This window comes from Homo sapiens, chromosome 18, assembly GCF_000001405.40.
Source record: "Homo sapiens chromosome 18, GRCh38.p14 Primary Assembly".
NCBI lineage: Eukaryota > Metazoa > Chordata > Mammalia > Primates > Hominidae > Homo > Homo sapiens.
In genome coordinates this window covers 56,031,890-56,051,789 of record NC_000018.10, presented here as the reverse complement: position 1 = coordinate 56,051,789, position 19,900 = coordinate 56,031,890, and the positions used below count along the sequence as shown (strand labels likewise).

The following is a 19,900-nucleotide window of genomic DNA, read 5'->3' as shown; positions in this document are numbered from 1 at the left end:
TCTGAGTGTCCCAAGTCGCTCAAGAATCTCACAGGTTCTCAAGCTTCTGGAAGAGTTCCATGGCTAGAAGTGATGCTATCCAACTTAACACTCCAAAACGTGAAGATATTCTACTGAACATGAAGATGTGGTCTGAATATCCCCCTACTCCCCAGTTCTTTGACAGCCTCATCCAAGAAGAAGGAGAGAATCTGTCTACAAAGTGTGAAGACAGTGCTTGGGCTTTTGGATGCCTTCGACTTGAGTTTGAATCTGAGCACTGTGTGATATTCTCCTGTAAAAGATGTCATGTAAGAATTACATGAAATAGCAAGTGCTCAGCATACAATAGGCACTTATTAATATTTTTCATTAATGTTTCAAAGTCTTTGCTTGAGCCAAAGCTGAGATACAGACATGGCTATGTATATGTGGCAAAATGTTGAGTAAAGTCACCGTTGTGGGAAATATAAAGTATCCAGGGAAATTGTTCATTCTAAGGTAAGAATGAGATCAGAACAATGCATTGAACACCATTAAAAGAAAGTAAAAGGTTTCATGACTTCAGGAGGAAATGATTTTAAATCACTCAAATCTACTTTATAATCAATCCCATGGACTCACTCCTTGGTCTTGGGGTGAGGGGAAGCTATAAATAAATAAAGCTATAAATAAAACTCCAATAGTTGCTTTGCTAAAAATCAAAAACAAACAAAACAATAGTATTGCATCAATATTTCTCAGACTAGGATGATTTTCAAAACTTTTATAAACCGAGACAAAGGTATCATCCAATCAGAACAGAACAACAAATGTCAGCCATGAACAGACATGACCTGTGAGGAGCTCAATGTCATTATTACTGAAAGATATCATAAAAGGTAGAGAAAAACTGCCCCACTCCTACCACTTACTTTATTAACAATCACAGGTATCCTCAGCAAAGCAGATGCACGCCTCATTGTGATATCATTTGTAGCCACGGTGGAGATAGCTTTGCGTTTCTGTTGGTTGATTCTATAGTATACCCCAATTGCCTGCTGGAGGGCCTTTTTGAGCAGGTTAGGAGAGGCTAGGCTGAGAGACTCACCCTACAAAGTAGTTTGTATAAGTTACTCCAATTGAAGATCAAGATTTGAGATTTAGGATTAAGGATTTTAAAATTGTTATGTTTTGAAACCAAGGAAGGGTTTTTGACTTTTAATGAAAAACAAATACATTGATGCATGTAATAGCTGCATTCTCAGACGATGTAATTAATTAGGATGTTTAACTCTGCAATGGTTGAGCTGCTTTTAAAGGTAAATCCAAAGTGAATATTGAATGAAAGTTTCAACTGTTTTTTTGTTTGTTTTGTTTTGTTTTTTTCACTTACAGTTTTAAATCAGTATGCTGGAGAGGGTCACTTATCTATCAATCAAAGACAATTCTGAGGGAAGACAGGCAAAAGACCTTATAATCCTGATATAATCTCTTTTCTAACCCAAGCATCTTGAGACACTCGTATGGGCTGGCACAGAATTTAAGCTCCAATTCACTCAAATCAAAAAGAGCAACTCTCAGTCTGTCATCAGTAAGCTAGCTCTCCAAGGTGTATTTTTATCCCAGCCTCATCTAAGTTATGACAACTCACCTGGTTGGTTTCTGCCATTTGAGTAGAGAGAGGCATCAGAGTGACAGGCCATCACTCTTTGTGTTCCTCTTGAGGTATGACAGAGAGGAAAAACAAACCTGGGGAAACAGATTTCAAAGTTATTTCCAAAATGTCTCTGGATTGGAAAAAGAGATATAGGGTACTGTTGATGCTTTTTTCTACCCAGAGCTCTTCTGAAGGTGAAACTCCTCTCTCTTTTATAGGCACTTCTTAATTTATTTGTCTGTTTGTTTATTTGTTTTACTGCTTTGACCTCGATTCATCTCCCTATTCTTCTGTTTCTTAAAATGTGCAGTTCTAATAAGTTGTACTCCTAGTCAACAACTCAAACTCTTTTTACATTGATTTCTACATTGAAGCACCCTCTTCCGGTGGCTGAGCCAACTTACTGCTGGGCTAATCTTTCTGCAGACCCATATCCTTAGGACACATTGATTTCCCACACTGAGAAATGGTAACATCTAGTGCCTGCTTAATTTGCATAAAATATATAAACAAATATTAGATATTAATATAAATGTTCATATAGACACATAAAAATATAATTATAAATTTTACGCTTGTCAGGGGCCTTCTAATCTACTGCGTTAGCTGACTATCTAATCTAGCTATCCCCTAATTTTTCAGATTAAGTATATTTTTCTGTCACTGCTCAGTTTAGATTTACTATAATTGCACATGTATTTCATATTTTTCTACTTTATTTTTTGCATTCTTATCATATTATATTATTCCTTTTTTCTTTTCTAACTTATTTTGAAGTGATTGAGTTTTCTTTATTATCATGTTTTCCTCTGCTGGTTTTGAAGAGATACATTCTATTTCCATTATTTTAGTTATTATTTCTAATTTTTTAACATGTCTCCTGACCTAACAAGATCTAAGTTTAACTGATCTTTTTATTCTGCTCTAATATGGCAAGTACCTTAGAGCACTTTAACTCTGACCATCCCCTCCCTCTTACATGCTATTTGGTCCAACATTTTAGTGTCATCTTAGTTTTATATCTTATCAAATTATTCATTTGAATTATTATTATTGTTGTTTTATATAATCATTGATTGTTTATATAAACCCACAATTTACTGGTTTCTTTGCTCATGAGTTTGCATCCCATTGTTTCCTTTGAAGTTTAAATCCCTACGTCTTGCTTCCTATTCTTTCATTTGGAGTTTAAATTCCTGCTTCTTGACATTGCTGTTATGCTGGGGTGGGGATTAGCTGAAAATGGTGCTCAACCCAAGATTATAAAACATAGGAAGACATCATCCATGATGAGTGACAGTTATCAGATGTAAAAAATAAACAAAGGATTAGAATCCAAAGAGCTTCAAGTTATTGATTATTAGAGGGATACTATAAAATAATGTTTAAAAGAAAAAAATTAACATGTCAGAAAAGCATAAGACATATTATGATTGCACATGGATATACCTTATTTTCTGCTCCCAACATGGCTCTGATAGTGGTAAGCACTCAGCCTTTATCTGCTAAATCTCTTTATTTCACTCTTATTTATGAATGATAGTGTGGTTGGGTATAAAAATATAGGTTTACAGTTATTTCCCCTACCCCTTTGAAGATATTATTCTGTTGTCTTCTGGTTTTTTCTGTCATTACTGAGAAGGTTACAGTTAGTGTGGTTGTTCTGTTACAGGTTGTCTTTTCTTTCTTTCTTCTTCCTCTTAAGATTTTATATTGGTCTCTGGTATTTCCATAAGATGTATCTGTGTGTTGTCTTATCTCACTTGGGCCTCCAAATCCTGACGTTTCATGTGTTTCATCAAATCTGGAGGATTTGGCCAGGTGCAGGGGCTCACATAATCCCAGCACTTCCGGAGGCTGAGGCGGGTGGATCACTTGAGGTCAGGAGTTTGAGACCAGCTTGGCCAACATGGTGAAACCCTGTTTCTACTAAAAATACAAAAAATAGCCAGGCATGGTGGTGGGTGCTGGTAATCGCAGCTACTCCAGGGGATGAGGCAGGAGGATCGCTTGAGCCTGGAAGGCACAGGTTACAGAGAGCCAAGATTGCAACACTGCACTCCAGCCTGGGCAACAGAGTAAGACACTGTCCACCCTGCCCCTGACCCCCACCCCATCAAACAAAAAAATCTGGAGAACTCTAGGTCTTATCTCTTCACATATTTCCTCCTCTTCTATTCTTTCCTTCAGGCACTCTCATTAAAACACTCTTTCTCCCCTCAATGTGTATTAACCACTTTTAAATATTTAATTGCTCTCTGCTACCCTTTAGGAAAATCTTTATTCAACTGTTTGAATGTTGAATATCTGGTTAAACTATCCATTGTGCTTTTCCCTTCCATGTTTATATTTTTCAATTTTAGAAATTTAATTGTTATTTTCAAAGCTTCCTATTTCTTACTCATATGTCTTATGCTTTTCTGACTTGTTAATTTTTTTCTTTAATCATTTTTAACATATTATTTTATAATATCCCTCTAATAATCTATTACTTGAAACTCTTTGGGTTCTAATCCTTTTGTTTATTTTTTGTATCGGATAACTGTCATTCATCATGGATTATGTCTTCCTGTGTTGCATAATCCTGGGTTGGGCACTCATTTTCAGCTCCTCCCCACCCCAGGATAACAGCAATGTCACACTTGTTTAGTACTTCTAATTTGGGTTGAGGATTCTCTTACTCTCCTTATTTCATTAAGGACTCAGCTGTATATTTAACATGTTTATAAATACTTTTCCTACCTTGCCTAGGTGAACTTGTTCAAATTATCCAATCCAAATTATTCCCAGAAGCACACATCACATCCTCAAGAATTAAAATGACAAGAACAAGAAGATATGACTACAACTAAATAAAATAAATAGAGAGAAAGAAAGAGGAACAAAAAAAAAGGAAGGAAGGGAGAAAAAGAGGGATGGAGGAGGGAGGAAGGGAGGGAAGGAGGTGGGGAAGGGAGGGAAAGAGGAAGGTGTTGTTGCTCCTTCCTGGAACTCTCTTCCTGGGCTTACTTCACCCCTCAGGTCTCAACTGAAACAGTACCTCCTCCAGAAAACCAATTAGTTCTTCTTACTGTTCCCATGACTCTTTGCTTCTCCTATGATAACTCTTACCATGCTTTATTGGAATTATTTGTTGCCTTTCTTTCTTTCCAGGTAAAATTAAAAGGATCAGAGCAGGATGATTCCTTCATTTATTAACAAATATTTATTGAGCCCTAAGGATACAGCAATACATAAAATACACAAAGCCACTGCTCTCCCAAAGCTTACATTCTAGACAGGGAAGACAGAAAATAAACAAATATACAGTGTGAATAATACATATAAGTGATGATAAATGCTCTGGAAAAAAAAGTGGTGAGAGGAAGGAGAACTATGTAAGGAAGAGGGCCTAAATGAGAAAAGGTGGGCCAGGAAGGCCTCTCAGTTCTGATGACTTGACTGGAAACCTGAGTGGGATAAGTGAGCAAGCCTTGGTTGTATCTTTGGAGAAGGACACAGACACCTTCAGTGAAGTATGCACTGGGTTTGGGAAGGAGGGAATGAGAGCAGAGTGGGCAGTTGGCTCAGAGACGGGGCCAGGCAGCATGACACAAGGACTTTCCAGCCTCTGGAAAGACTCTGGGATATTATTATGAGTGAGGTTTGATGCCACTGAAAGGTTTAAATGATCTTGCTTACATTTCAAAAGACTATCTCTGCCACTGCACTCCAGCCTGCACGACAGAGCAAACCTCTGTCTCAAAAGGAAAAAAAAAAGACTATCTCCGGTTGCTATGTTGTAACAAGAGTGGAAGCAGAGTGGCAAACTAGCAAGCTAATGCAATTGTTTAGGCAGATAAAACACTGTAGACTGGAATAGCAAGTGCAGAGGTGGTGAGAAGAAGGGGTTGCATCCTGGATTTACTTTGAGGGTAGAGTTGAATGGATCTGCTGACTGTATCACTCTATTTCATAACTTTTATAACCAAATCCTGCATAGAGGGTCTAGCTTTGTATTCGTGGAATAAATGAATGAGTGAATGAATGAATGCATGATTTACAGGCCCTCCTTCTTGATGATGTCATTTCCATTTGTGAAATGAAAATTATCAAACACTATGAAAACTACGCAGGTTTTGCTGCTACCACTAAAGTGGGTCTAATGTAAATAATATTAACCACATTTTGTAAGCAACAGATCCAGCATGTGTACTAGGTCTTCTTCCTGCCCCAAAGCTTTTATTTTAGACACAAATGTTGCACACATTTTTCAGCTTCTGCTAGGACTTAGAATTGCTCTATATCAGTTTCATGAATGACCCTCAAATAGGCCATCAATAAATTTATCTCAGCCACACATTTGATCTGAAATCCAAATCCATTTTCAAGAAAAATGTAACTGGCCAAATAGACAAGACTTTGATTTCAAAATGAACGCTGGACAGGTCATATTTTTCTGTCAATTTATTTCAAGACAATGTTCAAAGGAGTTGACTGATAAAATTCACTACTCAGTGAAAGATACCAAGACACATCTTAGGTATTGTTTACCTCTTGAAACAATATGGTGACTATTGAAATCTTACTGTGGGCATACCTACCATCACTTTTAACAGATTTCAATGAAATTTAAAAGTGACAGAGATAAATGTCTTAAATGAATCTGTAAATTCATTGATAATTTTCTAATCAATCCTACTTTTATTAGATTGTCCTTTGAAAATTTAATTAAAATTATAATTAATTTCATTTATGAACTGCAATAATGTCTTCTAATTATGTGATTATAACAAGTGAAGTCTGCTGTTCATAGAAGTAATGGTTAAAATGTCTAAAATTACCAAGTATACATTTTAAATTACCAAGTATATATTTTCCAGGTTATATGTGCTATGGAGAAAAGATAATTACCAAGTATATATGATCTTTTCTCTATAGTACATACAACCTGGAAAATTGCCCTTGTGATTAGTACTCTTTATGCTTCCTGTCATGCATTAACAGAATCTAGAGCGCTGATACTATAACAAGTGTACAAGTATATAAACTGTGCCAAGGGAAGTGGGTGCCAAACATGTCCAGCTTTCATGGTGGCAACTTCACAGAAGACACAAGGTAGTTAAACAACATCTATTGCAAGGAAAGCTTCAAAAATCACAACATCTTGGGTTGGAAAGAACTTGAAAGATGGTCTCTTTCCAGCCCTACATCCCTCTTAGACTTTATTTGATTTGGAATTGCAGTTCCTTTGCAGCACTAATCTTGATAACACATTTCAATTCCAGCAGTCTGCCAGGCTCTGCACTGGGGTGATTCTAGAGAACGGTAGGCAGGCATCCTGCCCTTGACGATCCCAGAATCTACCAGAGCCTCTGCAAGTTTTCCACAGGTTGCCTGAATTTGGCAGTTTGCTTCCCCACAGAAATCAAACAGGAGCTATGAGACTTTCTCACTTAAAACACACACACACACACACACACACACACACACACACACACACATTAAGGATAGGGTCCAGGTTTTCTGCTGCACTCACTCTAGGTTGGAGAGCTAGAGAAGAGGCTGATGAGACCATCTCTAGCATACATTTATGGAACTGTCCTTTGGAATAAGCCACATGAAAGCAAATTAGTCTTCTGTTCAATCCTTGAGACAAACAGAGTGGCCTCTGCCAGTGTACACTTTCTTCCCTGTGTAAAACATTTTACTTTGGCACTACAAGCACAGCCTGGTTCTGAGGCTTGTCCTCTTTCTCCCCTCCCTCCAGTCACTCATCACTTCAATGATGTTGCCCATGATTTCACAGTGGTTAATTTTCTACCGAGAGAGGATGCCCTAAACCAATCTTTCATTAGTGACAGTAATCACTACATCAGTCTCTTATTAATGACAATAATAGCTAACATTTATTCCATGTAAATCATAGCATAATACTATGTCATTGAATTTCACGATACCCCATGAGGTAGGTGGCATTGATATGCCCTCTCTATAGATGATGGAATAGAGATTCAGAGAAGTTAAGAGACTTGCTTATGGTCCTATTGCCAGTCAGCCCTGGAGCCAGAATTCAAGTCAGGTGTCTGATTCCTAAACCAGGCATTTGACCCCTAACGAAATTGCTTTGGTTGTAGCAGGAGGATGGGAATGGCTGGAATGGGACCACAACCACCTGGCCTCACACCTGGCCCAAGTTCTTGGAATTCCAAGACACCCCTCAAAGCACAGGCTTATGTCAACAAGAGTTTTCTAGAGGAGCTGAGGTTATCTGGGAATCTGGCTGCCAGTGTTCGTTCTCTGATCTGCTACACCATCCAACAACATAGACCCGACTTTCTTGCCAGCAGCCAGCCTCACAGGGCAGCCAAGACTAACAAGTGTAGGCACTGTGCAGGGTACAGGGCGCATGAATAGCACTATTCTTTGCTGGCCAACACTGGCCCCATTGTTTTAGGCAATGAATAGAGCTGTGTAGAAAAAAAAAAATTCACACACGAAGCAAAAGCAGCAAAATTTGTCTCTTTGTGATGGTTTCAAGACTGGGTGAAAAAGTCATTCTTCACCTGGTGCTGTTTTACATACTCTTTCACAAACAGAAAGCACTTTCTGGCAAGGGAAGAGCCTTTCTCTCAAAATTAAAAAGTTATAGGTCACAGTGCAGGTGGGAGAATTGGGAGTAGACCTCAAAGTTTAATGGCACTCATTCATTACAACATTGGGGAGATGGAAGTGATGAGGCATCATTTTGATTTAGTGGAATTAAGCTCTGTTCCCAACAATCATCTTGATCTATTTGGGACACACAGTTTTTGCCTGCATTTTTCACAGATAACAGAGGGAAAGTTAAGAACACACTATTAACTACAGTATATATTAGGGCTCCTATTCAAGGCAAATAATTGCCAGACTTTCTATTTCTTTTTGATAGTGCTAGACTCTTTTAGTCTCAGACCCATTTCTGGGGTTGTGTTGCTGGCTGCTGTAACTCACCACCAGGGAATCTCTCCCTATCTTTGTCCTGGCTGCACCATTAGATGAAGTCAGAATCTCACAAAACCATTACACTCATTTAACTTCTGCATATGGAAAATGAATTCCTCTCTTAAGAGCAGGCATTAACACATAGCTCTGATACAAGCCCGTGTCCCACACACATTATCTCCTTTTCATCCTTACACCACTCATAAAACCACCATTGGTGGTAGACGTCCTGTGGTACAAATCATCTTGGATTGTTGACTGAATTATTATTTTGTGTATCTTGGTATCATAAAGTTCTATGAATTCAGTTTCTTCAAAATAGATCTCTTTATTTTTTTATTTAAATACAGAAACTTCCAGAGGCAGCTTAAAACATGGGAAGAGCATTATGGGCTTTAGATGCAATCTGATTTAAATTCTGGCTTATACAGTAGTTCTGTAGGATGACTCTATGGTCTATGTTGTCCTGGAAAGACCTTGCTGTATCTGTTATCCTGGTGTAATTGTTAATATTGCCGTCTTTCACTTTAAAATGTGTACAGTTTAAATGGTAGATGATAAGGTCATCCTATGGTTATGTCACCATGGGCAAGCAACTTAACTTCTGTTAAGTTGCTTTCTTCATTTATTAAATCAGGACAACACTGTCTATCTGTTAGGATCAGTATTAATGTTAAAGAGAATACACGGAACTCTCTGCATATTGTCTGAAGCATAGCAAGGACTCAATAAAGATGGCTATTATTAATATTTCCTCTGGAGGCACTGCCTTAGAACACTGTTTCCAGGTGCCTTCATCCATTTTGTGCTGTTAGAATACCACAGGCTGAGTAATTCATAATGAACAGGAATTTATTGGCTCACCATTCTGGAGGATGAGAAGTTCAATATCAAGTTGCTGGCATCTGGCAAGGGCCTTCTTGCTGCATCATCCCATGAAAGAAGGGCAAAAAGAGAATGAGGGAGAGAAAGAGGCAAAAGGAGGCTGAACTCATCCTTTTGTAAGGAACCTACTCCTGCAATAACAAGCCCACTTCCACGATAATAGCATTGATCTATTCATGAGGGAAGAACCACCATGGCCTAATCACTTCTTAAAGGTCCTTCCTCTTAATACTGTGACAATGGCAATTAAATTTTAACGTGTGTTAGGGAGAGGACAAACATTTAAACTATTGCACCAACTGTTTGAGAAATCATGGACTATTGAAACAAAAAATAAAATAAAATAAAATCAATCAAAGGAATGTATTAAAGTCACCAGGGTTTTACCTTGCCTAGTAGAGACATTAGAGAAAAAGAATACCACTGATTACAAACACGTTTCCATGACAGAAAGTTTTTTTAAAAGCTGAAAATGTAGAAAACAAACTCTGAGACTAAAAGACAGCTAAGTTAACTGAAAGTATGTATCATCATTTTTTAAAACAGAGTATTATATTCTGAAGGAGATCAGAATATCTCACCCTCAAATATGCCACTTTGGCATAAGGATTATTGTGAGCTGAAGCCAATTAAGAATCAAGAAATGCAGGAAGAGTTTACTGTCCTCTCCTTTTCTGCCTAAAAAGCTGTACATAAATTTCCCTTTGAAGAAGGTTCTCTCTTACCCAAGAGAAAGAATAGCAGCTCTTAACATGAAAGACCAGAGTTAACATTAAGGTGAGTTTACATAAACAGATCTTACTAAAATCTTATCTTCCATTAGTTCCTCCCCATGTTTCCTAGTCACTTCTCCACAACTTAATGTCACTTGATGCTCACGCTCCTTTCCTTTGTTAAAATGGTGTATAAGCCCCCAAGTCTAATCACTTGTTTGCATTTTATCTTTTTGTATGTGAACTCTCATGGGTGTAAATATTAATACAAACTGTGTTCTTTTTCTCCTATTAACTTGTCTTTTGTAAGTTTAATTCACAGGCCTCCAGGTACTGAACTTAAGAAAGTAGAGAAAAAGGTTTTCCTTCTCCAAACTTTTATTTCTTTTAGCAGCAGGCTAGTGAATGTTCATAGGCTAGTAGTGGTCCAAAGTCAGACAGCTGGGAATCACTGCTCTAGAGGCATATAATCCAATCTGTCCTTTTCTGTCTGCTTCTTTTCTGACCCTGTCCTCCCCTTCTTCCTGCCATTTTATTCCCATCCTTCTCAAACATTACTTTTGTTTGTATCATTTGGCAACTTCATGATATTAAGCATTCTTCAAGTGCAGTGCTCAGTAGGCTATGGGTACTTTAAAAATATGTAGCGTATTTTTAACTTCATATCTTCCCAGAAAAACATTTTAATTTTAGCATCTTAGTTAAACCTGATGGTTACTCTAATTCACCTGTTTATTTTTCTGTAGGTTTTACACACTATTGGAGATCCAGTCAATATAGAAAAAAAGTAGATGATTCAATAAAAAAATAGAAGTTTTGCATTATGCCTATTAAGAGAGTAGCCACATACTTCAAGTGTTCATTTACAGCAGTTTTGGCAAAGAATGGGCTTAATTTGACTTCTGATCTGTACATAAGTCACAGGCAAAAACTCTCTTTTAACTCTTTTTTTCCCTCCAGGTTTGGAAAATACTCATCTTTGATTAAAAAGTTGGAAAGAACTGACCGGGCGCGGTGGCTCACGCCTGTAATCTCAGCACTTTGGGAGGCGGAGGCGGGCGGATCACAAGGTCAAGAGATCGAGACCACGGTGAAACCCCGTCTCTACTAAAAATACAAAAAAAAAAAAATCAGCCGAGCTCGGTGGCTGGCACCTATAGTCCCAGCTACTTGGGAGGCTGAGGCAGGAGAATGGCGTGAACCCACGAGGCGGAGCTTGCAGTGAGCTAATACCGCGTCACTGCACTCCAGCCTAGGTGACAGAGGAAGACTCCGTCTCAAAAAAAAAAAAAAAAAAAAAAAAAAAAGTTGGAAAGAACTGATCCACATAGGTGATTTTAAGGAAGGATGAGGAAGCTCTCCAGAAGCCCCCCTCACTTCCATTCAATTTTTCCTCTGAATGCCATTAATACCTACAACGAATTTCCTAGCATTTAACCTAACAAAGCTTTTAAAGATTTAATATTACCCTCTTTTCCCTCAAATGATATTTGCATAAGCCATAATTAAGTTTTTGGAGTCTCATTAAAAAAAAAAGCTATTGAAAGAAATAAAGCAGTGAAGCAAACATTATAAGTTGCAGTAGCTAATCACGCAAAAATGATAATAGCTTCCAAACTGTAGTCAAAATTTACTTATATTTCCTGAATATTGTGACTATTAATATTTTAAGATCTATTAATACCAAGATATATCATTGCTTTCTAATTTGCTCTTTTATTCAAGATGATCTTTAACAGCGAAAATCTTGTAACCCAATATCATAATCAAGCCATTGAACTTTTAAATTGAAGCCGGGTTCTTTTTAAGCACCTCATTTTTAAACATCAGATGAAAAAGCATTTATTCTAAGATGCAAATTTTTAATTATTTAAGAGAGTAGAAGCTTCTTTGGACCTGAAATACCAAAATGAAATGTCCCTTAACAAATATGATTTTTTTTAAAAGATGCAAATTCATCATTCTTAGTTTAACTCCGCCATGAATTTTCTCTTTAATGCAAAATAGTACATTTCATTGTGTTACCATTTTGTATTTTGCTGTATCAAAATCCTCAGCAACTTTATAAATTCTTTAAGGAGTGAAAGTGTGTAATTTGTGCTGTGCCAGAAACAGAACTCACAGTTTGCGATCACATAATTCATATACATGAGGTTGATAAGCAAATGGCAAGGAACACCGTAAGTTTCAGCAACATTTACCTCAATCAATCCTCTGTGATGGGAATGTTTTTTGCAGGGCTCACCAAAGTTCACTGGATGATTGAAATAAGAAAGAGTTGGGGGAATAACTAGGATATATGTCAAATATGTAAAAAACAAAGGAGAACCACGGAGGTTGAGACAGGATGGTTGTCCTTCCTTGGAACTGGTCTCATTAAAGTCCTCCTCAGAAAATATTTTCTCAGAACTTTGGATAAGAATTGCATTACTGGCTTCTTTTTGAAGATAATGGTTATTTTCAACATTTTATGCAACTGAATGATAAAATGACAAGAACTTTAAATTAAACCTTAGCATGCTACCAAACTAAGCATTGTGTAGAGGGGTTAGGTTGGGAACAGCCCGGCAGACATTTCTTTTCTTGCTTTCCTTTTTTTCTTTTTTTTAATCAATTTAACAAATGTTTGTTTTCAATTTGTTTTTGACAATGGACTTAATAAACTCTTTTACCTAGTTAAGATTTATGAAAAGTGTTTCTCTCCCCACTTATCTCATTTATAGAATTTGTAATTTGCATAATGGTAAGGCAGGGGCATTTTCATTCCTGCCTTTCAAGCACCTCCATTCTAATTTTCATGGTAATAGTAAGTGCACTTAACAACAATGGTTCATTGATCCAGCATGTCTCCTACCTGCCCTGGAGCAACTGGGCAATTGTTAACTATAGAAGCCACAAAACAGATAACCGAATCGACCATTTGTGCAAAAGCTCTGCCTATAATGGTTTCAATAATAATTAATATGCAGGATAGCTAGTCCTGTCACACACCATTTCAGACTAGAATTGCATCTGTCAGTCCAAATCCTGACTCCATTCGAGGCATCCAGCACTGAATCTAGTTAGACAGCTAACTGAATTAAAACAAAAATCTACAGATGCATGATAAATGCACAGGATGCTATGTCACACATGAATGACTCCTGCGCAGGCCAAATGACAGATGTATTTCCGCGACTCCAGGCCAGGCTCCAGCACAAACCACTCTTCATTTATCAATAATTGGGCCTTAATTTCATTTGGCAGTGGTGGAGCAGCATGCTCAGCTTCCTCTCCAATAGACGAACACTAATTAGACTTTTTTGGGGGGATGGGCACCAATCTTTTGGTTTTATTTCAAATACCCAACCATCAGCAAAGTTAGAACTGTCTTTGGAAGCGAGTGGTCTGTTTCACCCACAGCTCATTATTAGTGATAATATCTTGCAATGGGAACTCTTCAAGTATTAATGTTCCATTTCAATAAAGATGAGAAGCATAGGAGATGCCATGCGGAAAAAGAAAGATGGGGAAGGATTGTGGTTACACACTAAGTCTCTTAGAGTACTTGCTAACTCTTCTTACTTATTGAAGAGTTTTGCTTTGCCTTTTAGGTCAATGTGTGTGTTTGAGGGAGAAAGAGAGAGCAAAAGGCAGAGAGATTCACAGACATAGACAGATGGAGTGGCAATGTAAACAGGAAAAGTGCAGAACAATTTTTAAAATTTTAATTGTAAAAGGAGAAAATTATTAGGATTGTTTTCTCAGGTTATCATATTAATTTCCAGACCAGTTTTTATGTGGTTGCTTTTACATTAGATAAATCATTGTAATAATTAGTAAAATGTCTGATCAATTACTAAAACGGTTAGTGTTCCCCCTACCATCCAAGTAGAAAAGGCCTCCCAAAGGAATTCCAATCATGTGTACAACAAAACAAACAAAGCCTACTTTGGATCATATAAACCAGCCCCAGATTTACCAAAATACCCACATATTGGCCACTTTTCTCCTTAAATCTACATTATGGGGATTAACATTCCCTCCCTCAATGCCTACAGAGACCAAGTGTTCATTTGTTCCTTTATTTAAGCAGAGGAAAATTGGCATGGCAGATTGTGTACTGCGGCTTTACCCATGGGTGGACCTTTCTCCATTTAAGGCGTTGTGGCTAGTTGCTCATTTGGGCTTAGAACTAGCTATGCTTTTCAGGTTCTCTTGAGCTTCTTGCCTCTCCTTCCAAATCCTGTTCCAGAATGAGTGAAAAAGGGATGCCCTGCTTCTCCTTCAACTCCCACACACAAACTCACTTTCAGCAGGGCACCCTATTGATCCACTCTTGGGATCTTGCTATTCTCTGCCACTCAGACACTCTTCAATGTCACATTTATTATTCTTCATTGGCATAGGTGAAGCCAGTGATGTTGTCCTGAGGACTGATTGCTATGCCCAGATGATCTGTTGAAGTTGGCTGCCTGATCCAACATACAGCATAATTGAAGAGGACTAGGAACAGAATCCGTTCCCGTTTCACCCCAGGAACTATGCCAAATTCAACAGAGAGCTCTCCATATGGTCTAACACAAGTGAGGTAATGTGTATATTATGCCATAATAAATGAAGTCTCATAGGTTTCAATGGCTCATAGTAGCTATCAGGAATTTTTCCTAGCAACTCATGGGAAACTGAGCAGCATGCCATAAATGGGAAAGCCATAAATAATTTTGCAACTCAGCCACCAGGGCTGTGGTGAAATGCTGTGCTTGCATTATCAACTCTAAACACTGACAGACATGTGAGCATGTCTGCCATTTTGTAAGCAGGCTCCCCTGAAGAACAGAGGAGCACTGAAGGATTGGCAGTATACTTGGAAGAGATTTGGAGACTTAAGGAGTTATGAAGACTGTGGTCTGGATATCGTGCTACTGATAATTTCAGAGTAATAGGATTTGTACAGACTGTTGGCACTTGTACTTGTTAGGAGATATTTAATGAGAAAGATAAAACAGAGTACTCATGGGGTCTATTGTATTATTCAAAACATGCTTTGACCCTACCTCATTGACATTAGGCTTGGCCATGTGATGTGGTTGGCCAATGAAATGTGAGTGGAAGTGTCACATGCCAATTCCCAGCATGAGCTTTAAAAGCCGCTGTGTGATTCTTCCATGTTCCTTCTGCCATGAGACCAATAATATACCAGATAGGGGCTGCTGTATCAGTCTGGGTCCTGGAATGAAGACATGTAAAGCAGAGCGGCAGCCAACCTGTAATGACGATGTAACAGGAGAAGAACTAAACTGTTAGTGTTGTCAGCCACAAAGATTAGGGGATAATTTATTACTGCAGAATAATTTAAGATGGCTAATATAAATCGTAACTCATGTTTAAGATAATGTGGACCTTTTAATTCTGACTACTTTAACATAGGCACTGGCAACCCAGTATTCTGAACAAGTAATGATAAAAGGGTTGGTCTTTAGTTTCTGCTAGTTTCTGCTACTCTTGACTCTTCTCTTCCACTTGCCCGTGCTTCCTTGAATTGACCTACAGAAGTTTGCAACAAGCGTTCATCTGCCATTACTCTTGAATTTAAAGCTAGTGGTGTATACCTTTTCTCCTACCTGTGTGACCACCTATGCATGCTTCCAGTACTTGCTTAGCAGTCTTTTTCCCTCCTGACTCCCATAAGGAAAGGATTCAGAGACGTAATATGAAGGATTTGCTGACTTACACTAGAATACACGAATAGAGCATGGTGATAGTATGGTCATTGCTATGTCTGAATGTGTGTGTTCCCCCTAAATTCATATGTTGAAATCTTAACCACCAAGCTGAAGTTATCAAGATGTAAGGCTTTGGGAGGTGACTAAGTTATGAGGGGAAAGCACTAATCCCTTATAAAAGAGATTCCAGGAGCTGCCTTTCCCTTCCCCCATGTGAGACCACAACAACAAGTCACCATCTGCAAAGCCCTTACCAGATACTGAATCTGCCAGTGCCTTGGACTTCCCAGGCTCCAGAACTGTTAGCAATAAATTTTTGTTGTTTATAAATTACTCGGTCTATGGTATTTTGTTATAGCAACCCAAATGGACTAAGACAATCAAATTGAGCTCACAATCTGTCATGGCCAGAAGGGATCAAGTTGATTGTCCAAAATCCCTTCTGAAAATGTAGGCCTGGGTATAACAGAAATGGGCAGAGGTTCCTGGAACTTAGGATAGGGTTAAGGGTATTGCTGAGTTGGCTAAAGATCTACAGCAGATAGAACCATGGCTTGGGGCTCTATCTAGGGATAAAACCAAGCACCTATTTAAACACACTGAGCAGAGGGGTGAAGGTCAGGTATGAAGGAGAAACTAGAGACCAGAGGCCAGAAGGAGCTGGAAAAGGGGGCCAAGAGAGTTTCCCAGGGACTCTACAGCCTTGACCCCAGGGCATTGTGTAATATGCTCATGGTTTTGCCTTTGGGTGTGGAAGTTTCTGTTAAGAACACCAAGCCAGTTCAGTCCCTAATCAGTCCAGCATGACAACGTGTTTACATAAACAAAATCTTTCTCAGCCCTTGGATCAGTGATGGTAGTTGTCGTTGGTCTCCAGAAAAGGTGTGTCTGAAAAGAAGAAAGCTAAACCTTTGTGTATCATCTGGTTAATCTCAAAGTGAGAGACCTCTGCCTCCAGGGTGCTGCTCAGAGGCATGCAACTATTGGCCATTTCTTGAACCAGGGCTTGTTTTTCTACAGTGAACTTAGGGAAATAAGGACAATATAAATTAGGATTTTCCTAGAGCTCATTTAGTTGATTTTGTGTGGTGTGTGCGTGCGTATGTGTGTGTGTGTGTGTGTGTGTGTGTGTGTAAATGTATATACTGCTTGCTTTTTATTTTTAAATTTATCTTTAAGTATCAGTGGTGATGGTATTTGGTGATTTCTTCTAGTTTAATATTCTTATATGGTATAACAAAAAAATAGCAATTGCAAGTCAGTCTAATTTTTTTTAAGCTTTACTGGCATGTGAAGTCTAATGTCTGGGAAACACTGAGCCACACTGATATAGTTTGGCTGTGTCTCCACCCAAATCTCATCTTGAATTGTAGTTCCCATAATCCTTATGTGTCGCAGGAGGAACCTGGTGGGAGGTAATTGAACCATGGGGGCACCCCCATGCTGCTGTTCTCCTGATAGTGAATTCATTCTCAAAAGATCTGATGGTTTTATAAGGGGCCTTCCCCACTTTTGCTCAGCACTTCTCTCTCCTACCTCCATGTGAAAAAGGACATGTTTGCTTCCCCTTCTGCCATGATTGTAAGTTTCCTGTTGCCTTCACAGCCCTATGGAACTGTGAGTCTATTAAATCTCTTTCCTTTGTAAATTGCCCACTCTCAGTTATGTCTTTATTAGCAGTGTGAGAACAGGCTAATACAGTAAATTGGTACCATAGAGAGTGGGGCCCTGCTCTTAAGATATATTCCACAAAAATGTGGAAGCGACTTTGGAACTGGGTAACAAGCAGAGGTTGGAACAGTTTAGAGGGCTCAGAAGAAGACAGAAAAATGTGGGAAAGTTTGGAATTCCTAGAGACTTGGAGGGCTCAGAAGACAGGAAGATGAGGGAAAGTTTGGAACTTCCTAAAGACTTGTTGAATAGCTTGGACTAAAATGGACAATAATAATAATATGAGAAACTTGTTGGGAACTGGAGTACAGGTCACTCTTGCTGTGCAAAGGGACTGGTGGCATTTTGCCCCTGCCCTAGAGATCTGTGGAGCTTTGAACTTGAGGGAGATGATTTAGGGTATCTGGAAGAAGAAACTTCTAAGTGGCAAAGTGTTAAAGAGGAAGCAGAGAATAAAAGTTCAGAAAATTTGCAGCCTGACGTGTGATAGAAAAGAAAAGCCCATTTTCCAGAGAAAAATTCAAGCCAGCTGCAGAAGTTTGTGCCAGTAATAAGGGGCTAAATGTTAATCACCAAGACAATGGGGAAAATGTCTCCAGGGCATGTCAGACACCTTCATAGCAGCCCCTTCCACCACAGGCCTGGAGACCTAGGAGGAAAAAATGCTTTTGTGTACTGGGCCTAGGGCCCCTCTGCTCTGTGCAGCCTCAGGACATGGTGCCCCGTGTCCCTGCTGCTTCAGATCCAGCGATGGCTAAAATGGGCCAACATACAGCTTGAGCCATTGCTTCAGAGGTTGCAAGTCCCAAGCCTTGGCAGCTTCCATGTGGTGTTGGTCCTGCAGGAATTGAGGTTTGCAAACTTCTGCCTAGCTTTCAGAGGATGTATGGAAATGCCTGGATGTCCAGGCAGAAGTTTGCCACAGGGGCAGAGCCTTCATGAAGAACCTCTGGTAGGGCAGTGCAGAAGACAAATGTGGGGTTGGAGCCCCTACAGAGAGTTCCCACTGGGGTACTGCCAAGTGGAGCTGTGAGAATAGAGCCACCATCCTCCAGGCTCCACAATGGTAGATCCACTGACAGCTTGCACCATGAGCCTAGAAAAGCCACAGGCACTCAACACCAGCCCATGAAAGAAGCTGGGAGTGGGGCTGTACTCTGCAAAGGTGAAGGACCAGAGCTTCCCAAGGCCATGGGACCCCACCTCTTGCATCAGGGTGCCATGGATATGAGACATGGAGTCAAAGAGATCATTCTGTAACTTTAAGGTTTAATGATTGCCCCACTGGATTTTGGACTTGGATGGTGCCTGTAGCCCCTTTGTTTTGACCAAGGTCTCCCCTTTGGAATGGGTGTATTTACCTAATGCCTGTATCCCCATTGTATCTAGGAAGTAACTAACTTACTTTCAATTTTACAGGCTTAGAGGCAGAAGGAATTTGCCTTGTCTTAGACGAGACTTTGGACTTGGACTTTTGGGTTAATGCTGGAATGAGTTAAGACTTTGAGGGACTGTTAGGAAGGTATGATTGTGTTTTCAAATATGAGGACATGAGATTTGGGAGGGGCCAGGGTGGAATATGATTGGGCTGTGTCCCCACCCAAATCTCATCTTGAATTTTAGTTCCCATAATCCTCATGTGTCATGGGAGGGGCCTGGTGGGAGGTAATTGAATCATGGGGACAGTTACCCCATGTGGCTGTTCTCATGATAGTGAGTTCTGATGAGATCAGATGGTTTTATGAGGGACTTTTCCCCCTTTTGTTCAGCACTTTTCTCTCCTGCTGCCCCATGTGTTTGCTTCCCCTTCTGCCATGATTGTAAGTTTCTCTAGGCCTCCCTAGCCCTGTGGAACTGTGAATCAATTAAACCTCTTTCCTTTATAAATTACCCAGTCTTGGGTATTTTTTAATAGCAGCGTGAGAAGGACTAATACACACACTATCCCAAGGTTTTAGCTGGATCACTTTCCTGGTGACAGGACATCTAAGAGAGCTCCTGAGATTTACCATAGATACACATTTACCTAGGAATTGGGAAGATTAAGGTTATGGGGAAGATGAAGTCTTTTCTCTTTTTCCTGCCTCCAGACCCTCATAGTTGGGAAGATTCAGAACACTCAAACTCATTTTATTTGGGCTTTCAAGGTCTCTGAGAAAGGAAATATTTCCACTGTAGACTTTAAAAATGGTCTATGGCTTTTCTAAAAAAAATGAGAAAAGATAAGTTTATAGAAGGCACTGGACATTGTGAAAAAGTAGAAGTCTATGTTATTAGAGTGGCTTTACCTTCATCAAAGGTAGACCAGCCTGTGCAGGGCTGAAGGCTGTATATTGCTGTCTTCA

General features: G+C 39.2%; 2 long non-coding RNA genes across 3 annotated transcripts in view; one reads left to right on the top strand and one right to left on the bottom strand.

Moving 5' to 3' along the window:
* LINC01905 (long intergenic non-protein coding RNA 1905) overlaps window positions 1-9,512 on the bottom strand; it is a 54,038-nt gene extending 44,526 nt beyond the window's left edge. For both annotated transcript variants that reach the window (NR_146510.1, NR_146511.1), the window contains exons 1-2: window positions 9,446-9,512; window positions 1,613-1,710 (exon numbers count right to left, since the gene is read on the bottom strand). This is a non-coding gene — a long non-coding RNA (long intergenic non-protein coding RNA 1905). The remainder of the gene's footprint in view (window positions 1-1,612; window positions 1,711-9,445) is intronic.
* LINC03069 (long intergenic non-protein coding RNA 3069) overlaps window positions 1-19,900 on the top strand; it is a 187,650-nt gene that overhangs the window by 139,473 nt on the left and 28,277 nt on the right. The window lies entirely within an intron of this gene.